Source organism: Homo sapiens, chromosome 16 (genome assembly GCF_000001405.40).
Source record: "Homo sapiens chromosome 16, GRCh38.p14 Primary Assembly".
Taxonomy (NCBI): Eukaryota; Metazoa; Chordata; class Mammalia; order Primates; family Hominidae; genus Homo; species Homo sapiens.
The window spans coordinates 33,617,703-33,633,643 of NC_000016.10; the positions used below are offsets into that span (position 1 = coordinate 33,617,703).

Here is a 15,941-nt window from a genome sequence, read left to right on the forward strand (position 1 = left end):
TTATTTAACTAATTTTGTAGTGATGGGGTCTAACTGAGTTATCCAAGCTGATCTTGAATTCCTAGCCTCAAGAGACCCTCTTGAATCAGCCTCCCAAATAGTTGGGATTACAGGTGTGAGACACTGTACCTGGCTCTTTTTTTTGTTTTTGGAGATAGAGTCTTGCTCTTGTCATCCAGGCTGGAGTGCAGTGGTACAATCTTGGCTCACTGCAACCTCCGCTTCCCGGGTTCAAGCAATTCTCCTGCCTCAGCCTCCCGAGTAGCTGGGATTACAGGCACCCACCATGATGCCTGGCTAATTTTTGTATTTTTAATAGAGATGGAGTTTCACCACATTGGCCAGGCTGATCTTGAATTCCTGGCTTCCGGTGATCAGCCTGCCTTGGCCTCCTTAAAGTGCTGGGATTACAGGAGTGAGCCACCATGCCCAGCCCCTGGCTTTTTAAAAATAATTTTTAAAAAATAATTTGTCTATTAATTTTTATGATAAGGATTTTAGATAATGACAGCCAAGCACTGTTTTTAGTGACTGAACCTTTCAAACAAAATCAAATAAAGAGAGCATCTATCCTAGCACTCTGGCTGAACCGATGACCTGCTGCCCTTGGCTACCCTCTTGACTACAGTGGGGATCCCTAGCTGGACAAATCTAAGCTTGGAATCAAGCTCTGGAATTAGGCCCTGACTGCCGTTCACAAGCTGTGTTACCTTCAGCACGTTCATACCCTCCCTGGGCCTCGGTTTTCTCATCCAGAGGATGGAAGAGTTAGGCCTACACAGTGGTTTTAAACTGTGCTCTATAAAGTCCTAAGAGTTCTAGAGGGATACCCCAGTGGATTTGAGTGAGGAGTGGGTGGCGTGGAAAGAAATAGTAAATGGAGCTGGGCACAGTGGCTCAAGCCTGTAATCCCAGCACTTTGGGAGGCTGAGGCAGGTGGATCACTTGAGGCCAGAAGTTGAAGACCAACCTGGCCAACATGGTGAAACCCTGACTCTACTAAAAATACAAAAATTATCTGGGCATGGTGGCATGTGCCTGTAATCCCAGCTACTTGGGAGGCTGAGGCAGGAAAATCACTTGAACCTGGAGGTGGATGTTGCAGTGAGCCAAGATTGGGCCACTGCACTCCAGCCTGGTGACAGCAAGACTCTGTCTCAAAAAAAAAAAAGGCTTTTCAAAGAAAGTAGTGGTACACATTGCAGGAGTGAGAGAGAGTGTATGTGGGTATGATACTGGGGTGGACCTGGAGGGGAATAGGGTCAAGAAAGGCTTTACTTTTTTTTTTTGAGACAGAGTCTCACTCTTTCACCCAGGCTGGAATGCAGTGAGTGGCGCTATCTCAGCTCACTGCAAGCTTCACCTCCTGGTTCACACCATTCTCCTGCCTCAGCCTCCCGAGTAGCTGGGACTACAGGTGCCTGCCACCACGCCCGGCTATTTTTTTGTATTTTTAGTAGAGGCGGGTTTCACTGTGTTAGCCAGGATGGTCTCAATCTCGTGACCTTATGATCCGCCCGCCTTGGCTTCCCAAAGTGCTGGGATTACAGGCGTGAGCCACTGCGCCCGGCCAAGAAAGGCTTTTCAAAGAATGTGATGGTACGCATTGCAGGAGTGTGTGTGTGTGTTTGTGTGTAGAGAGAGGGGTGTGTGTGTGTGTGTGTAGAGAGGGGTGCGTGTAGAGAGAGGGGTGTGTGTGTGTGTGTGTGTGTGTGTGTAGAGAGAGAGGGGTGTGTGTGTGTGTAGGGAGAGGGGTGTGTGTGTGTAGAGAGAGGGGTGTGTGTGTATGTGTGTGTGTGTGTGTGTGTGTAGAGATCTGGGAGGCAAGGGTGCCTGGAGGAGAGAGGGAATGGGATCCAGGCACACAGAAGGGCTTGGTCTTGGGGGACGGATGCCATGAAGTATACGGCAGGGATTTCAGGAGGGTGCGTGAGTGGCTTCAGGAGGAGAGTGAAGATAAGAAACAAGAATACAGGAGAAAAGGAAATGAAATTACTAGGGACACACAAGAGTGCCAGGAAATGGGTGCCTATTAGAGGTTTGGGGTCAGGTTAGAATTCCAAGGGAAGCCTTGGTGAGTGTCCTCCAGCAATGAACAACCTTTCAGATACAGGCCCTAGGGGAGGCAGAGGGTGGAGATGAGCGAGTTAGCATTGCTGGGGGCAGATGGAAGAGAACTGAGGGTATTTATAAGGCAGTGGTTTTGATACACAATGGACTTTGAGCAGCTGAGGGTTGGGAAATTCTTTCAGGCCTCACATCTGTCTCCAGGATTATTCGTTTTATTATTGTTTTAAATGACATTGTGTAAAACATGGTGGAGTTAGTGGTCAGTTTTCCAGAAAAGGAAGAGGCATCTCCATCCTTAGGGGCTCAAAGTACCCCCTACTTTATTGCTGCATAACTCAGATTCCTGAGGGTTTATTTTATTTATTTATTCATTATTTATTTATTTTTGGCGATAGAGTCTCACTCCATCGCCCAGGCTGGAGTGCAGTGATGTGATCTTGGCTCACTGCAACCTCTGCCTCCTGGGTTCAAGTGATTCTTCTGCCTCAGCTCCTGAGTAGCTGGGATTGCAGGTGTGCACCACCACACCCGGCTAATTTTTGTATTTTTAGTAGAGATGGAGTTTCACCATGTTGGCCACCAGGGTCTGGAACCCCTGGCCTCAAGTGATCCACCCACCTCAGCCTTCCAAAGTATTGGGATTACAGGTGTAAGACACTGTGCCCGGCCCCTCTTAGGGTTTATATTAGGAACAATGTCCTCAACTATTGCAGCGATATATTGTATGCCTAATTTTAGTGCCAGAACATAGTAGACCATCAATAAACATGTGGCGAACTAAACAATCTCAATATTAGGCAAACCTTAGAAGCTGGCGATAGCCCATGTGGAAGTCTTCAGAAAGCAAGCTTCCTTAGATTTCCAGTTTGAATCCTACATGATTCTTGGAAAGTTAATAGTAGAGAGTGTTTAATTGTACAAAGTTTCAGCTGAGGAAGATGAAAAAGTTTTAGAGATGGATGGTGGCAGTGGAGCATAATGATGTGAATGTAGTTAATGCCACTGAACTCTACACTTGAAAATGATGAAAATGGCACTCCAGCCTGGGCGACAGAGCGAGACTCCGTCTTAAAAAAAAAAAAAAGAAAAAAAGAAAAAAGAAAATCAGGTGTAGAATAGTGTAGTTTATTCCTTTTAAGAAAATGAATGGTAATATATTTATGTACATACAAAAATACCTGTACATGCACATCATCTCTAGAAGTATAACATGGAGGGCCTAGAAGCCCAGGTGACAGGGAGACCTATTGCTCACTGCATATTCTTTTTTTTTTCCTTCCCTTCCCCTCTTCCCTTCCCTTCTCCTCTTCCCTTTCCTTTCCCCTCTTCCCTTCCCCCCTGCCCTTTTTTTTTTTTGAGACAGAGGTCTCACTCTGTTGCCCAGGCTGGAGTGCAGTGGCACAGTCACAGCTCACTATACCCTCAACCTCCTGGGCTCAAGCAATCCTCCCCTCTGAGCCTCCCAGGTAGCTGGGACTGTAGTCATGAGCCACCGCACCCCACCCTGTACTTTCATATTCGTGACCATTAGTAATTATTACTTTCTCAAATAGAAGAAGAACCTTAAAATGTGAGTTGTGGCTCCTAAGCTTAAATTTTTACTATTGAGTACATTCCTTAAAAATTATCCTTGTTGGGCTGGGCGCAGTGGCTCATGCTTGTAATTCTAGCACTTTGGGAGGCCGAGGCAGGTGGATCACGAGGTCAGGAGATCAAGACCATGGTGAAACCCCTTTCTACTAAAAATACAAAAAATTAGCCAGGTGTGGTGGTGGGCGTCTGTAGTCCCAGCTACTCAGAGAGGCTGAGGCAGGAGAATGGCATTAACCCGGGAGGTGGAGCTTGCAGTGAGCCGAGATCGTGCCACTGCACTCCAGCCTGGGTGACAGAGTGAGACTCCGTCTTAAAAAAAAAAACAAAAACAAAAAACAAACAAACAAAAAATTATCCTTGTTGCACCTGGTGGCACACACCTAGAGCCCCAGCTACTCAGGAGGCCAAGGCAGGAAGATCACTTGATCCCAGGAGTTCAAGACCAGTCTGGGCAACATAGCAAGACCCTGTCTCAAAAAAGAAAAACAGTTTGTCCTTGTTTTAAGAACCTAATTCTATATAAGCATTGGTCACCTGAGTTTCTGAATTATGTCTGTTTAATTTATTTTTTGGAGACAGAGTCCTGCTCTGTCGCCCAGGTTGGAGTGCAGTGGTGCGATCTCAGCTCACTGCAACCTCCACGTCCTGGGTTCAAGTGATTCTCGTGCCCAGCCTCGCAAGCAGCTGGGACTACAGACATCTACCACCACACCTGGTTAATTTTTGTATTTTAGTAGAGATGGGGTTTCACCATGTTGGCCAGGCTGGTCTTGGACTCCTGACCTCAAGTGATCCACCTTCTTCAACCTCCCAAAGTGTTGGGATTACATGTGTGAGCCACTGCGCCTGGCCAGACTTTGTAGTTTGTATCATCTATCTTGATGATGCCTGACGCCCTTTTTCTTTCTTTTCTATGTGCAGCATAATAAGAGTGCCACATACTCCGTGGGAATGCAGAAAACGTACTCCATGATCTGCTTAGCCATTGATGATGATGACAAAACTGATAAAACCCAGAAAATCTCCAAGAAGCTTTCCTTCCTGAGTTGGGGCACCAGAAAGAACAGACAGAAGTCAGCCAGCAACTTGTGCCTCCCATCGGTCGGGGCTGCACGGCCTCAGGTCAAGAAGAAGCTGCCCTCCCCTTTCAGCCTTCTCAACTCAGACAGTTCTTCATACTAATGTGAGGAAACAAACACGTTCAGGCCCCGAACATTTCCGGTGCTGACTCAGCCTTAAACATTTGTGCCATAATGGAAAATATCTATCTATTCTCAAATCCTGTTTTTCTCATAGTGTAAACTCACATTTGATGTGTTTTTATGAAGGAAAGTAACCAAGAAACCTCTAGGAATTAGTGAAAAAAGAACGTTTTTGAGGCCTGTTACTATATTGCTATAAGTTATTTATTATATAAAGTATTGTAAATAGAATAGTGTTGAAGATATGAAATACGTCTATTTTTAATGGTGACAATTATGACTTTTAGTCACTATTAAATTGGGGTTACCTATAATAGTACAATTTGTAGTTGTTTCCAGGTTTGGCTAATAATCATTCCTTAACCTAGAATTCAGATGATCCTGGAATTAAGGCAGGTCAGAGGACTATAATGATAGAATTAAATTGGTGTCACTAAAAACTGTCCCAAAGTGCTGCTTCCTAATAGGAATTCATTAACCTAAAACAAGATGTTACTATTATATCGATATACTATGAGTGCTATTTCTAGAAAAAGTCTAGTGCCAAATTTGTCTTATTAAATAAAAACAATGTAGGAGCAGCTTTTCTTCTAGTTTGATGTCATTTAAGAATTGCTAACACAGTGGCAGTGTTAGATGAAGATGCTGTCTACAAGGTAGATAATATACTGTTTGATACTCAAAACATTTTTCATTTTGTTTAAAGTAGAAGTTACATAATTCTATATTTTAAGTCTTGGGTAAAAAAGTAGTTTTACATTTTATAAAGTAAAGATGTAAATGATTCAGGTTTAAAGCTCTATTTGACTTTTTTGTTGTTGTTTGAGATAGAGTCTTGCTAGTGTCAATAGCAAAAGCCTTCTAGCTATCTGCCTTTCAGGTACATGGTGGGGCATACTTAACTGTTTTCTCTGATGTTGGGCATAGCATGGACCTACTTGGTTCAATATCTGACACTATTTGCATTTATTGACACTATCTGCGTTGATTTGTGCTATTTCCTGTGTGTGATTTGCACGTCTGTCATTGCTTTTTGTCTCTAGTTACTGCTTTCTTTTCCTGTTTGTCTTGTTCTTGTAGGACCCTTTCTGACTCTCTCAAGAGGGACCTTTTCAACCCCAACTCCCACTGGTCTAATCCTAACCAGCACCAGCTGGTTGGGAAGTAGAGCAGGAACTCTGGCTGCCCTAATCTACATGGTGCTCTCTGCTCCTGGGCAGGGGTGTGGGTGTTTTTATATAGTATTCTCTTGAGTATGAAATGCCTGAACAAAGCAGTGATTTGGCAAGCCTGAAGTCACACACTGGGGCTCGTAGTAACTTGCTTCTGCTAGCAACGTGAGCATTAGAAACATTTCCTGGCCAAGTAGCCTTGAATCAGCTAGGAGTAGGGGTGCAATGAGTCTGAGTTCACTTTGCTCAGGGTGACAAGGCTTTAGAGTATTGGTTAATTGTCAAACTCTTTTGTTTAAGAGACAAGGTAAACATTCATACATATATACATAGAGAAGCTTTCTAGGGTTACTTAGGCTTTATGTGATTACTAGCAGAAATGTTTGTATTTGCAAGCAAAGCTTATAAATCACCTCTTAGATATCTTTGCAAAATGAAGCTAAAACATGGTTTAAAGAATCAAAAATATAAGATATTTACAATGATTTATAATTGAATCAGGAATGCATTTGGTATTTTTTAAAAGGAATAATTGGCTAAGATTTAAATTAATTTGCTTTCCTTAAAAACCCAGAGCCTAAACAATAGAAAGAAATAGGAACAGTTACACTGGGTGTGTGAGGGGTGGAGGGGGGGACCCAACTGGGACTGAAATTTCTTGGAGAAAATCTACAAAGTCGGCCAAGCACACATGGATTGTGTGACTTCATTTAGTTGGAGGAGAACTGAGCAACCCGCTGATCTCAAATGTCTTTCCCCAGGAGAAATAATCTCTCTTGTCTTGGAATGGCTGTAGCACTGAAAGTCTATTCCACCCTTGGCACTTACCTTAATCTATGTGGTAATATTATCTCTTTTAGAAATGTTTTTATCTCTTCATTATAACAATTATCTTTTTATATGCCTGACTTACCTAGGATGCTCATTCATTCCAGGTGGCCTGGAACAGTTCTGATTTGTGCCCGTTGCCATGGTTTAATTAATAGTGCCCCCTTTCACTCTCAGAAGTGTCCTGGCTTGGATGATAAATTATAAGGTACCCATAGTCTTATCCCAACTAAACAGAAAGTTCCTGTGTTAGTCAAGATCCCAGCAAGAAACAGAATATTATGTGGGGATTTTTGAAGAGATAAAAGTCCCTTTAATAAAGGGACTATTTACAGAAGTGTGAGCAGAGTTAAGAGCATCAAAAAAGGATGTTGAGGCACCAGGCCTGAAAAGGTAAAGGGAAGAAATGATGCCATTGAAGCTTACCTGGGGGGCACAGCTTTTGAAGAGGGGCTGCCCTAGAGAAGCCATAGTCCTGGAAGGGCTCAAACACTACAGAATGGGCCAAGCAAGGGAAGATATTCCCTACCACTGTCCTCCCACCCATCTATTACCTATCTGTGCCTTCTATTGGTTGAACCCAAATGCAAGCCAGAAGGCAAAGGAGCCCTGGTGATAAAGTTGGAAGGTGTTTGTTTCCTTGGGAAGAAGAGCAGGGAAAGGCAGAGAATGAATTGAGGGGGATCAGGGTATCTTGGGTCCTAGGGAAGTGGCAAACAGAAAATAAAGCTTCCTAAGGGGAGTCTCCTTGTCTTCAAGTCAATTAAAAACACATGTGTGCACACACGTGCAAAACACTACAGGAAAGGCCATGATTGGCAAGACTTGGCAGCTATTTAAGGGAGATATTCTCTACAATGGGGAACAAGAAATAAACTTAAGGAAGTTAAATTGCAGACTGAAGGTAAATAGCAGACTACAACAATATTATGCAGTATATGGTGATTGTCAGATTAATGGTGTAGGCCCTAGATGTTAAAGGAGTTTGAAGGATGAAAGATCACAATGGGCTGGAGCAATCTGAAAAAATAATTTATGGAAGAGGAGAGGTTTTCAGCAGCATTGAAATTAGAGCCAACTTATATGGGCAAGAAGGAGAGGTTGGTCTTCTTTGGGGCAATGGCATCAACAAGAGCACAGGTGTTAGCCTGAGACACAGCTTCCCATGGGTGGAGGGCTGGTGTTGTTTCTGAGATTTTCAAAAATCTTACAAACATTCCAGGCAAATACCTATGGAAGGGGCTAAAGGACATTAAATGGGCTGTAAGAGGTATAGGTTGTGGGTGGCCATTGATTCATTCCTTCAATAAACATTTATTGAATGCTTGGTATTGGTCAAGCCACTGTTCTGAGAGCTGCTGATGCCAAGTAAAATAAGACATGGTTCTTTCCCTTGAAGAAAGGGAATGGAAAAGGTAACCAAGGGAGAAAATAATTATTTTGCCTTGTGTCCAGATGAGGTTTTTCACATTCTTGGCTGGTCTTTTCACTCACTGCTTAAACTCTTTGGAGAGCCTTTACTCCCTTCAGGGGAAAGGATCGAGGCCCTTCCGATGTGGCCTTTTCTTGAGTCTCCAGCCCCATCTCTTACCACTCCTCCCAACACAGAGGTATGCACAGACGATATGCAAGCACACAGGAGATCATCTAAATGAGACTTGAGCAGAGAGTGATTAAGGAAGACTTCCTGGAGGAGGTAATGCAATCTGAATTCTGAAGTGTGAGCAGGGGCTTTGTAACGGTGTTTCCATTTATTTGTGTCTATCCTGATGCATTCTAAAAAGGAAGTAAGATGGTTGGCTTAAGAAATACACAGAGCAGGATAAAAAGAAAATTAGGTAAAACATAGGGTGAGCTTATTTGCCTTTTATGTACACTGCTGCATTTGATTTCAGAAAAGCTTTTTAAAGTTGCAGTTTTATTTTCATTTTCCAGATGAGGAAGCCAAGACCCAGTGGTTGAAGTACCTTGCCCAGAGCACACAGTCTTGACAGGCAGTGGAAGCAGAACAGAACCAAGCTGGTTTGGTACCAGTCTGTGAGTTTTCAGCTGTGTGCACTAGTATAAAAGATGTGCTTTACCAGTCTGTGAGTTTTCAGTTGTGTGCACTAGTATAAAAGATGTGCTTTACCAGTCTGTGAGTTTTCAGTTGTGTGCACTAGTATAAAAGATGTGCTTGTGACTTCCGTGGCTTACCTCCCTGCATAGAGCTCAAGGCCTGAAGGTGCTGCACGGGGCAGTAAAGGATGGCTGTGCACTTTGAAGACTGAAAAGTGAGTGAAGGGGGTGTGTTAGTCCATTCTCACACTGCTAATAAATACATACCCGAGACTGGGTAATTTATAAAGGAAAGAAGTTAATTGACTCACAGTTCAGCATGGCGTAGGAGGCCTCAGGAAACTTACAATCATGGTGGAAGGGGAAGAAAACGTGTCCTTCACATGGTGGCAGCAAGGTGAAGTGCTGAGCAAAGGGAGAGAAGCCCCTTATAAAACCATAAGATCTTGTGAGAACTCACGTTCACTACCATGAGAATGGCAGCATGAGGGTAATCACCCCCATGACTCAATTACCTCCTACCAGGTCCCTCCCACAACATGTGGGGATTATGGGAACTACAATTCAAGATGAGATTTGGGTGGGGACACAGCCAAACCATATCAGAGGGGAACTGGGAAAGGCATTTCAGGCAGAAGAGTCAGGGTGTTCAAAGCAAGCGGGGTGTGAAGGAGCATGGCATGTTGGAAGGATAGTAATTAGCTCATGATGGTTGGGAGTGTTAAGAGCACTGCTGAGAGATGGGGCTGGAGACAGAAGCAAGGGCCACATCTGAAGGGCTTCATATAGCCCTTGGCCTGAAGGGAGTGAAAATTCTTGAAGGAGTTTAAGCAGTGAGTGACAAGACTGAGAATGTTAAAAACCTCACTTGTACAGCAATGTAAGCAAGTCTAGGTCGGGAGGAGCCTGGAGGCTAAGAGGCCAGTTACAGGGCTTGCTGCAGTCATAGAACAACAAGATGGTAGAAATGATAAGGAGGGTGTTAGAGTTTGGGAGCTATTATGGAGAAACATTAGACAGAGGTGGGCCCCTGGATTGGGGATGGGTAAAGGTAACAAATTCTCACTTGGGCAGCCAGCGAGTTGATGCCATTCATGAGGCAGGGATGGTGGGGAAGAACCAGCTTGGTGCTTGAAGGTGATGAGTAGAGATGATGATGGTCATAAACAACTAATAAAGAAAATGAGCTTCACTTTTTTACCTTCTGTTCTGTCTAGTTGTTTAGTTTATTGAGGCCTTAGAAAAAAATATGACAGCCCCAGAGAAAATACTGTCAATAAAAGTTAAATGTATTTATTTTGATAAGACATTGTTTTTATTGCAAAAGTAATATATACACAGACAATTTAGAAATTACAGACAAGCCAAAGAAAATGTTGTTACACAAATGCAATGTTACAATGACTTGTAACACTTTGGTGTGTATCCTTTTTTTTTCTAAGCACATATGTGTAAATATATGCATTTTTAAAGGATTTCAGTAATGTTCTCATGATTAAATATATCATGCACATCCTTCTTTCTTTTCTTTCTTGCTTTTTTTTTTTTTGAGACATGGTCTAGCTCTGTCACCTGGGCTTGAATGTAGTGCAATTCTGGCTCACTTCAACCCCCATCTCTTGAGTTCAAGTGATCCTTCTGCCTCAGCCTCCCAAGTAGCTGGCACTACAGGTGTGCGCCACCATGCCCAGCTAATTTTTGTATTTTTTGTTGGGACAGGGTTTTGCCATGTTGCCTAGGCTTGTCTCAAACTCCTAGGCTCAAGTGATCCACCCACCTTGGCTTCCCAAAGTGTTGGGATTACAGGCATGAGCCACCATGGCTGGCACATGCACATCTTTCAATAACATTGGTAATTCTATAAGATCATTTTGGAGATTGCATGGTATTCCATTTATGAATGCACTGTCTCCTGTTCAACTATGTTTCTGCTGAAACATTTAGGTTGTTTCCATTTTTGTTTTTACTATTACAAACAAGTCTGCAGTAAAGTAATGAAAATTTAAATTTTCCAATTAACCTTTGGTTTTTAGTAGTGCAATTTAGTTTATGAAATTAAGTTTGGGCATGGTTTGTTTTTTTAAGTGGTTGTAGAAAGAAACAGATTTTTTTTTTTTTTGAGATGGAGTCTCACTCTGTCACCCAGGCTGGAGGGCAGTGGTGTAATCTCGGCTCACTGCAACCTCTGCTTCCCGGGTTCAAGCAATTCTCTGCCTCAGTCTCCCGAGTAGCTGAGATTACAGGCACCTGCCACCACACCCGGTTAATTTTTGTATTTTTAGTAGAGACGGGGTTTCACCATCTTGGCCACGCTGGTCTTGAACTCCTGACCTCGTTATCCACCTGCCTCAGCCTCCAAAAGTGCTGGGATTATAGGCGTGAGCCACCGCGCTTGGTGAAACAGTTGTTTTTAAATTGCTCTGAAAAAATATGTGGTCTCTCATTCTCATGTATGAGAGCAAACTGATATAAGGTATGGCTATTAAAAAGGAAGTATGGAAACTATCTGTCAGTTGAGTCATTCTTTAACTTTCAGTGAGGACAGAGACCACATTTTCTAATGAGATTCCTTTGCTTTAATGACTTTTTCAGTGTCTCCCCAAGGAGCATACAAAATTTTGTCAATTCTTCAAAATGATCTACAAATTGATAAACCTCATGAATAATTGCAATTGTAGTTAAATTCAACTTCCTTTTGATTGTGTACAATAAATTTTTTGCATACATCTTTAAAATTTTTTCCCTTAATTTAGCAGCAGACTTTGAGGATAGGAAACATATTATAGCTGACCTTTTTTAACTGATCATTGCCCTTTTCCTCAGAGTTCCTACTGACTCAACTCTGTGCTAGGTGTCTGCTCTCTCTGCCCTTGTCAAGCCTCTAATAGTCAAACATCTGAAATTCCTCTTTTCCAGTGAAGATGCTGCAGAGTACTTGGAAGAGAAAAGGAGATATTTCTGGCTTGTCTGGACAAGGTTAGACCCCCGATAGCAGCAGAAAAGGGATACGGGATGTCAGTGATAAATGGGTGGTCTCTGTTCAAACAATACAATGCATGCATTCTCCCATAGTGCTTGGAAAATCCCCAGTAGCTGTGTACTCCAGGCCATCCTGGTTGGATGTAGATACATTTCACCAGTCTCAGTACCCTTTTTCTTTCATAAATATCTTCTATTCTAAAAGAAAGTGAATAGAAAATACAAGCTAATCTCACACATAACCTAAGCGTAACATAAAGGAGAAATTTTAAAAATTTAATTTACAGTAAACATACATTTTAGCCAGATGCTTGTACTTATACCTAGAATCGTTGTGAATGTGACACCTACAAATGCAGACTGATACTGGAGTGATACATTGATGACTCAAATACCACAGGGGGCATCACCATTGGTATTGTAATTTTCCAGAATGATGAACTACAATGGGTTAAGTTATGTGTGAAGCAACATCCAGTTTTCCTTGCCTTTATAAAGTGCATTCCTAAAAATTCAGTGAAGCAACATCCAATTTTCTTTGCATTTATAAATTGTATTCCTAGAAAATTCAGTGCATTTAAAACTACTCAAAAGTATTTTGTGTTTTATGTGTAAATTAAAGTTAGATTTTAGGCTCACATCATTGTAAATAGGTTTTTCATCTACTTGAAAGACATTCAAAGCTCATGTCTGACATGAGACAGCTTTTTTTTTGCATGACTGACCCACATATTATTGGGCATCTCTAATCCCAGGACCCCAGCAAGTTGTACCCCATTCATTGTTAGAGCCAAAATACAAACAAACTAGGCCGGGCGTGGTGACTTAATGCCTGTAATCCCAGCACTTTGGGAAGCTGAGGCGGGCAGACCTGAGGTTGGGAATTTGAGACCAGCCTGTCTCTACTAAAAATACAAAAATCAGCTGGGCGTGGTGGCATGTGCCTGTAATCCTAGCTACTTGGGAGGCTGAGGCATGAGCACTGCTTGAACTTGGGAGGCAGAGGTTGCAGTGAGCTGAGATAACTCCTGCACTCAAGCCTGGGCGACAGAGTGAGACTCTGTCTCAAAAAAGAAAAATAAAGCAAAACCCCCAAATATTGACAAACTTACAAATTGTCCCTTTAGGTGGGTATAATTCCCCTGCCTTCACCTCAATCACTGGTTAAGCAGCTCCTGACTGTTTTTCTTTTTTGGACCTGGGAGGATTTTCCTCTGAGGTACAGAGAATTAGGTCAACTTGAGTCTGATTTAAAAAAAGTATTTATGTTAAAAATTGTGCACATATACACAATTATATATAACACAATATATAATGTTAAAAATATACATATAATAAAAGTTACCATTTAAACCATTTTAAATGTATAGTTCAGTGACATTAAACATTTACATTATTGTACAACCAATACCACTATCCATCTCCAGAACAGTTTTATCTTCTCCTCCTGGTTTTTTAAAGAAATCACAGACAGTAGTCTGTTTTGTCTCTCGTTTTCTTTTTTCTTTTTTTTTTTTTTTTTTGAGACAGAGTCTCACTCTGTCTCCAGGCTAGAGTGCAGTGATGTGATCTCAGCTCACTGCAACCTCCACCTCCTGGGTTCAAGCAATTCTTGTTCCTCAGCCTCCCGAGTAGCTGAGATTAGAGGCACCCGCCACCACACCCAGCTAATTTTTGTATTTTTAGTAGACAGGGGGTTTCACCATGTTGGCCAGGATGGCCTCAGTCTCCTGACCTCATGATCCAACTGCCTCGGCCTCCCAAAGTGTTGGGTTTATAGGCGTGAGCCACCACACCTGGCCTGTCTCTTGTTTTCTTAGGTCTTCTCATTGGCACTCATTCTGAGAATTGGTCTATTTCTTTTTTCTTTTTTTTCTTTTTTCTTTTTTTTTTTTTTGAGATGGAGTCTAGCTCTCTCACCCAGGCTGGAGTTCAGTGGCACGATCTTGGCTCACAGCAACCTCTGTCTCCCTAGTTCAAGTGATTCTTCTGCCTCAGCCTCCCAAGTAGCTGGGATTACAGGCAGCCGCCACCATGCCCAGCTAATTTTTGTATTTTTAGTAGAGACAGGGTTTCATTGTGTTGCCAGGCTGGTCTCGAGCTCCTGACCTTGTGATCCACCCACCTCACCCTCCCAGAGTGCTGGGATTACAAGCATGAGCTACTGCTCCCGGCCTGGTCTGTTTCTTGATTCTGATTAGGCCAGGTTTGTGACTCAACTTTTTGTCTCTGGTGAGGCTGTCATGCTCTGAGCTCTGCTTGTGCTGCTGACCATGCCTCTGCCCCCAGCCATATGGTAACCACACATGGCACCACCTCTCCGGCAGGCCCGGGCCTCCCCAGCTCTGTGGCTGTGTCCAGGACTGAGTCGCCCTATGACTCCTCTTCACTCTCCCTTCTGGAAAATTCATCTTTTCCTTGGCAGGTTACATCATAATTTCATATTCATTTGATCACTTCAGACATCCTATATTCAACTGTACAGTCCTGTTTTGTCTACACTTGTCTATCTGAAATCCTATGTTATTAGGCTGTGTGTCTGTTAGAAGAGGCAACTTGGCAGTGTGGAAAGAGCATTAGAACTGGAATCAGAGGACAGTGAGTAAAAAGTGAGAGGGCTGATCACTAGATAATCTGCAGCTTCAAAGAAAAAGTTAATACATTAATTTGTATAAAATATCATATCTGCCTACCTCATAGAACCTTCATAAGCATTGAATGCAAGTGAAAAATCGTAAAAGCATAAGGCATTATTATATAGCCCTTACTGTAATAAAAGATGCATAATACATGCTTTTTAAATGACAAAAGATATAATGGCATACACTACTAATTGGTAAAGAACATAAGGCTGGATAATAGAATCTGCAAACCCAGATATAGGCTGTTTTATTTAGTAGGGATGTAGTCTTCAATAAATGTTAAATGAACATATGTGCTCCAGAAAAGTTATTCAAAACCTTCATTTGGGGGTATTTAAAAGACAGTAACTCTCAGATATTTAGTGCTTGGAAGTCCACATAGATGTTCTGGAGCGTCAGCAGATGTGTGAGGTTGATTTCTGCCTGTTGTCATGAGAACACAGCTTGTCTTTATTGGCCTTTAGGAACATGACCCTAAAAATCAGCCTGACAGTGATATTCTTCTATGAAAAGAGAGACTACTACCCAAAGGAGCTCTAACAGGAGACCTGAGGAGTCAGATATGATCAGATGATCTGTTTCCATTTACAGAGTCCTGAAAATCTTTGAGGCTGGTAGCCGCAAGTCATAGTTCCAGCCAGTGCTGTGCTGAGCCATGTTGCAAAAGGAAGGATGTGTACTACATACTATATAACTGGATACATGATTTTACGTATTTTTAAAACCAGTTATTGGCGGCCAGGCGCAGTGGCTCATACCTGTAATCCCAGCACTTTGGGAGGCCGAGGCAGGTGGATCACCTGAGGTCAGGAGTTCATGACCAGCCTGGCTAACATTGATGAAACCCCATCTCTACTAAAAATACAAAAAAAATGAGCTGGGCATGGTGGCAAGCACCTGTAACCCCAGCTACTCGGGAGGCTGAGGCTGGAGAATCGCTTGAACCTAGGAGGTGGAGGTTGCAGTGAGCCGAGATGGCGCCATCACACTCCAGCCTGGGCAATAAGAGTGAAACTCTGTCTTGGAAAAAAAAAAGGTTATTGACTTAGATAAAAATATCACCTATGAGTTTGCTTCCATTAAAACCAGCAAAATAAATTTATAGTAAATTCTGATTTTGGTATAAATCAAATACTTAATGTGAGTTTTAATATATCTACTTTTCAATTGTTTCAATATTTTAAAACTAGTGTTCTGAAAAAATTGATATCTGCTTAAGGTATTATTTTTATTTTATTTTATTTTTTTTGAGATGGAGTCTCACTCTGTCGCCCAGGCTGGAATGCAGTGGCGCAAACTTGCAAGCTCCGCCTCCCGGGTTCACTCCATTTTCCTCCTCAGCCTCCTGAGTAGCTGGGACTACAGGCGCCCGCCACTGCGCCCAGCTAATTTTTTTC

At 42.5% G+C, this 15,941-nt stretch overlaps 1 pseudogene; it reads left to right on the forward strand.

Moving 5' to 3' along the window:
* The window catches only part of LOC102724181 (rhophilin-2-like), a 55,052-nt pseudogene extending 45,905 nt beyond the window's left edge, over nt 1-9,147 (forward strand).
* Nucleotides 9,148-15,941: the final 6,794 nt, after the last annotated feature.